This window comes from Homo sapiens, chromosome 15, assembly GCF_000001405.40.
Source record: "Homo sapiens chromosome 15, GRCh38.p14 Primary Assembly".
Taxonomy (NCBI): domain Eukaryota; kingdom Metazoa; phylum Chordata; class Mammalia; order Primates; family Hominidae; genus Homo; species Homo sapiens.
Genome location: NC_000015.10, coordinates 79,579,981 through 79,585,980, shown reverse-complemented (window position 1 = coordinate 79,585,980; position 6,000 = coordinate 79,579,981).

The window sequence follows — 6,000 nt, the reverse complement described above, 5'->3', positions numbered from 1 at the left end:
TTGGATTCTTCCATGACAACTAAAGCCATTTTTGGATGGAGAGATAGTGAAATAAATTATTGCTTATTGTTATGGTAATATTGGTAGAAAATTATGAAAAAAGACTGAAAATGATTTCTTTACAAAAAGCGAAAGATTTTCAATTAAGCTACCAATTTTCCATAGGACACAAGGCTTTTATAATAATAGCAAAGATCAATTGAATCAAAGCTTGAAAATTGCAAGTTTTTTTTTTTAGCTTTAGGTGAATTGTGCAATAGGAGATATTATCCAATTAATACTTTGTGTGAGTTTGATCTCAAAGAACTTCCAAATTTATAAAGAAAGGTCAATACATGGCCTAAAATATCAAACTTGTGGCATAGATATATTTGAGCATTTTAATTTGTCAAAGAATTTTACATAGACATAAGTTGCTCTAGCTACGTAAAATAAAAATGCATTGAAATTTCAAAATGAGACCATGTTTTCGGTACTGCTTCATTATAATGTATGACATGTTATTGCAAATATTTGCGCCTGGTTTCCTGATGCAGACTCTATAAAAAGTATCATGCATACGGTTGCCAAAAGCATTGTGAATGCTATGAATTATCACTATTTTTTAAAACTGCTGTAACAAATGGAAATGAATTTAATGATAGTTTATTTTTTGCCAATTTTCGTTGGTTAAAACATGGCAGAATTTACAAATATTTAACTCCAATTCAAGATTTTCTTAAAACAGAAGGAGTGCTTTCTAAATATTTAATAATCAAAGACAAAAATGGCAGTAATTTATACTTTTTCACTGATATCACACTATATATAAATGAGATAAATTTGAAGTTCCAAAGAAAGGAAAATCTATACAAATTAGAGAGATATGGGGATTCATGTTGAAATAGAAACTTTTTACAATACAAACCAATAATAATAATTTTACACATTTTTCTAACATGTATCAATACACATGCCAGCATTATATAAATTGGCTGCAAAACTACAAGATAAATTGTAAGAATATTTTATTAATATTAATAAATTTATAATTGGCTTTTAATTTATGCAGTACCCTCTTTGAATTACATGCTAACAATAGTGTGTTAAAACAAGAGTTAGTGAGTTTATTTAAACTGAACAGATGTAGTTTGGGAACAGATATGCTTTTACTTCAAATACAAACTATTCTAGAAAACATTGAACAACTTTTGTCAATGTGGATGCAAATGTTACAAAAGTTATCTTTCGAAACAACTGGTGTGTCAAAGAGGAAATTGCAAGGAAAATCTAAAAATATCTTGATACAAATGAAAACAAAAACACAACATACCAAAACTTATAGAATGCAGTAAAAAGTGGCCAAGGGGAAATTCATCAGTGTAAACACTTACATTAAAAAAGAAAAAGAAAATCTCAAATCAACAACCTAATTTTACACCCTAAAAAACTAGGAAAAGGAAAACAAACTAAACCGAAAGCTGGAATAGAGAAGGAAATAATTTAAAATAAAGCAAAGATAAACAAATTAGACACTACACAAACAGTAGAGAAAATCCTCAAAACCAAGAGTTGATTTTTTAAAAAGATCAACAAAATTGACAAATCATTAGCTAGATTAAGGAAAAAAGATGGAAGATTCTAATAACTAAAATCAGAAATAAAACGGGACATTACAACCAGTTTCACGGAAATAAAAGGAATATAAGAGAATACTATGAACAACTGTTTGCCAAAAAATTGCATAACCTAAATCAAATGAATAAATTTCTAGAAACACACACCTATCAAGACTGAATCATGAAGAAATGGAAAATCTGAACAGAACTATAAGTAGTAAAGAGATTGAGTCAGTAATAAAAAACTTTCCAAAAAAGAATAGCTCAGGACCAGGTGGCATCACTGGAGATTTTTACCAAACATGAAAAGAATTAAAACCAATTCTCCACAAACTCTTCCAAAAATTGAAGAGAACGTTTTCAAGCTCATTCTACAAGGCTAGGATTATTCTGATACCAAAGCCAGACAGAGACTACAAGAAAATAAAACCGCAGACCAATCTCCCTGATGAATAGTGATGTAAAAACCCTCAACAAAATACCAGCAAACAGAATTTGACACGTTAGAATGATTACACACCATGACCAAGTGGGATTTGATCATGGAATGAAAGAGTGGTTCAACATAGAAAAATCAATCAAGTAATGCACCTAATTAACAGAATGAAGGGAAAAAAAACCACAAGATCATCTCAACTGATGTCGAAAAAAAATTTGACAAAACACCCTTTCATCAGAAAAACACTCAACAAACCAACAACAAAAGGAAACTAGCTCAGCATGATGAAAGTCATATATGAAAAGCCCACAGTTAACATACTCAAGGTGAAGAATTTAAAATGTTTCTTAGAAGACCAGGAACAAGGCAAGGATGCCCACTCTCACCACTACTATTCAATAGAGTACTGGAAATCCTAAGCAGAGTGTATAAACAAGAAACAGAGACAAAAGCCATCCAAATTTGAAAAGAAGTAAAATTATCTAGGTTTGCAGATGACATAATCAACAAGAAACGGAAATAAAAGCCATCCAAATTTGAAAAGAAGAAAAATTATCTATGTTTGCAGATGACATAGTTGTATATGCAGAAAACTCTATAAAGAATCTACAAAAATTGTTAACAACTAATAAACAATTTTAGCAAAGTTTCAGGATACAATATCAACACACAAAAATTAGTTGCAATTCCATACACTAACAATTATCAGTCCAGAGAGGAAAATATGAAAACAATCATACTCAGTATAGCATCAGGAATAACCTAATCAAGGTGATGAAAGACCTTTGTACTGAAAACTACAAAACACTGCTAAGAAACAAATCAAGGAAGATACAAATAAATTAAAAGACATCTCATGCTAATGGACTGGAAGACTCAATGTCATTAAAATGTCCATATTACCCAAAGCCATCTACATATTTAATCCAATCTCTATCAAAATCCTAATGGCATTTTTTTTTTCACAAAGGGAAAAAAATGCTGAAATTCATACAGAATCTCAAGGGACCTCAAATAGCCAAAACAATTTTGAAAAAGAACAAAGTTGGAGGCCTCACAATTTCTGGTTTCAAAACATACCACAAAGCAACAGTAATTGAGACAATGAGGTACTGGCATAAAGACAGATGTTTAGACAAATGAAACAGAACAGAGAGCTCAGAAATAAACTCTTGTATATTTGCCAATTTTTTTTTACTTAACAGAGAAAAAGCAGTCTCTGCAACAAATGGTGCTGGGAAAACTGGATATCCACATGCAAAAAAATGAAGTTGGATCCTTACCTTACACTATATAAAAATTAACTATTAATAAAAATTGAGCAATGGCCTAACCGTAAGAGATAAAACTCTATAGTTCTCAGAAGAAAATGCAGAGGACGAGTTTAATGATATTGGATTTGGAAATGATTTCTTGATACAACACTAGAAGCACAGGCAACAAAAGTAAAAAGATAAATTGTGCTAAATCAAAATTTTAAAATTCTGTGCATCAAAGGATATAATCGACAGAGTGAAAAGGCAACCTATGGAATGGGAGAAAGTATTTGCAAATCATAAATCTGATTAGGGGCTAACATCCAGTTGATATGTAAAGAAGTTTTACAACTCAATGATAGAAAACAACCCAATTTAAAAATGGGTAAAGAACTTGAATGAATATTCCTCCAAAGGTGATATACAAATGGCCAAAAAGTGAAAAGATGAAATATGAATATGAAAAGATACTCAATGTCACTAATAATTAGGGAAATGCAAATCAAAACCACAATAAGATATCACCTCATACCCATTAGGATGATAAAAGCCAGAAAATCACAAGTGTTGGTAAGGATGTGGAGAAATTGGAGCCCTTGTACTCTGCTGATGAGAATGTAAAATGATGCAGCGGCTATGAAAAACAGGTCCTCACAAAATTTAAAATAGAACTTCCATATGATCCAGTAATCCCACTTCTGTGTATGCATCCAAAAGAATTGAAAGCAGGTAAAGAAATATTTGTACACCCATTTTTCATAGCAGCATTATTCACAATAGCCAAAAGGTGGAAGCAACTCAATGATGTTCATCAACAGAAAAATGGACAAATGGTGATATATATGCAAATTGTGACAATGGAATATTATTTAGCCTTAAAAAGGACATTCTGATACATGTTACAACATAGGTGAACCTTGAAGACATTATGCTAAATGAAATAACAGTCACAAAAAGACAAATACTGTATTTTTCACTTATATGAGGTATCTAGAATAGTCAAACTCATAGAAATAGAAAGTAGAATGGTAGTTGCCAAGGGCTGAGGGGAGGGGACTAGGCAGTTGTTTAATGGGTATAGAGTTTCAGTTTTGCAAGATGAAAAAATTTTTGAGATTGGTTGTACAACAACGTGAATATATTTAGCACTACTGAACTATACACTTAAAAATAGTTAAGATGATGAATTTTGTTGTGTTACAATTGTAAATTTTATAAAATCTAAATACAGATCAAGTATTTCTGATAATTTTTTTTTCTTTCTTTCTTTCTTTTTTTTTTTTTTTTTTTTTTTTTTGCGACTGGATCTGACTTTTGCCCAGGTTGGAGTGCAGTGACACGATCTTAGCTCACTGCAACCTCCATCTTTCAGGCTTAAGCCATCCACCCACCTCAGCCAATTGAATAGCTGGGATTACAGGTGCACGCCACCATGCTTGCCTAATTTTTTTTTTTTTATTATTTGTAGAGACAGAGTTTCACCATGTTGCCCAGGCTGATTCTGAACTCCTGAGCTCAAGCGAGCCTCCTGCATCAGCCTCCCAAAGTACTGGGATTACAGGCATGAGCCACAGCACCTGGCTCTGATAAAATATTTATTGTCTGAAATGAGGTATGCTATAACATCCACATGAGATTTCAGAAAGTATTTAAAAGTATGTATAATATCACATTAATTATTTTTATATTGGTTACATGTTAAAGTAATGATATTTTGGATATATTAGGTTAGTTAAAATACATTATTAAAAATAATTTCAACTGTTTTTATTTTTGTATATATGACTGTCAAAAAATATAAAAGTATATATGTGGCTTCCAGTATATTTCTGTCAGACTATTGTTTTTCTTTCTTCTTTCTAAATTTTTGTGGTTACATAGTAGGTGTGTATATTTATGGGGTACATGAGATGTTTTGATACCAGCATGCAATGTGAAATAAGCACATTAGGGAGAATGAGGTATCCATCCCCTCATCTGTCAGATAATTTCAAAGAACAGTTGACTGGAAGATGAGATAAAAGTGATAGAAATTAAAGTATTGTAAGAGTTTTGCAATGTTTGAGACGGGGGAAGAGGTATTAATTAACTTTAAATATCTCTTAGCTTTATATCCATCCTAAAAGTTGAATATATAATTTCAAAATTAAAAGTTGAATATATAATTTCAGAAAGACTACATAATGTCTTTATTCTACTTCAGTCCCCTCTGTGAGAACACAAGTAGAATAAAGACATTATGTATTCTTTTGTGACACTGTGTCCAGAGAGGACACTGGTAGAATAATGAAAACTCAATAAGCTCAATTCAAGATACAAAAAAGAAAGAAAAATAAAGCTCAAACAGCCCAAACGGAAGAGAGAAAAGGAAAATATAAAAAACTAAGGAAGAGCCTGATAGAAAATACAAAATAGGAAAGCATAAATAGTTCCAAATATATCACTAATTGTAACAAATACAGAACGGTTACATTTATCTGTTAGACGATACAGATTCTCAGACTAGATTAAAAATAAATTTTTAAATGCAGCAATGTGCTGTTTACAAGAGACACACCTATAAAGTGTAAGGACAGAGAGAAGTTCAAGAAATTTTCTAGACAAATATTAATCAAACAAAAGCCAGTATAGCAATATCTCTGTATCAGGGTTCTTGGCTGTGAGCAATAGAAGCCTTTCTAGTTATTTAGGCAAAAGCATATTCATT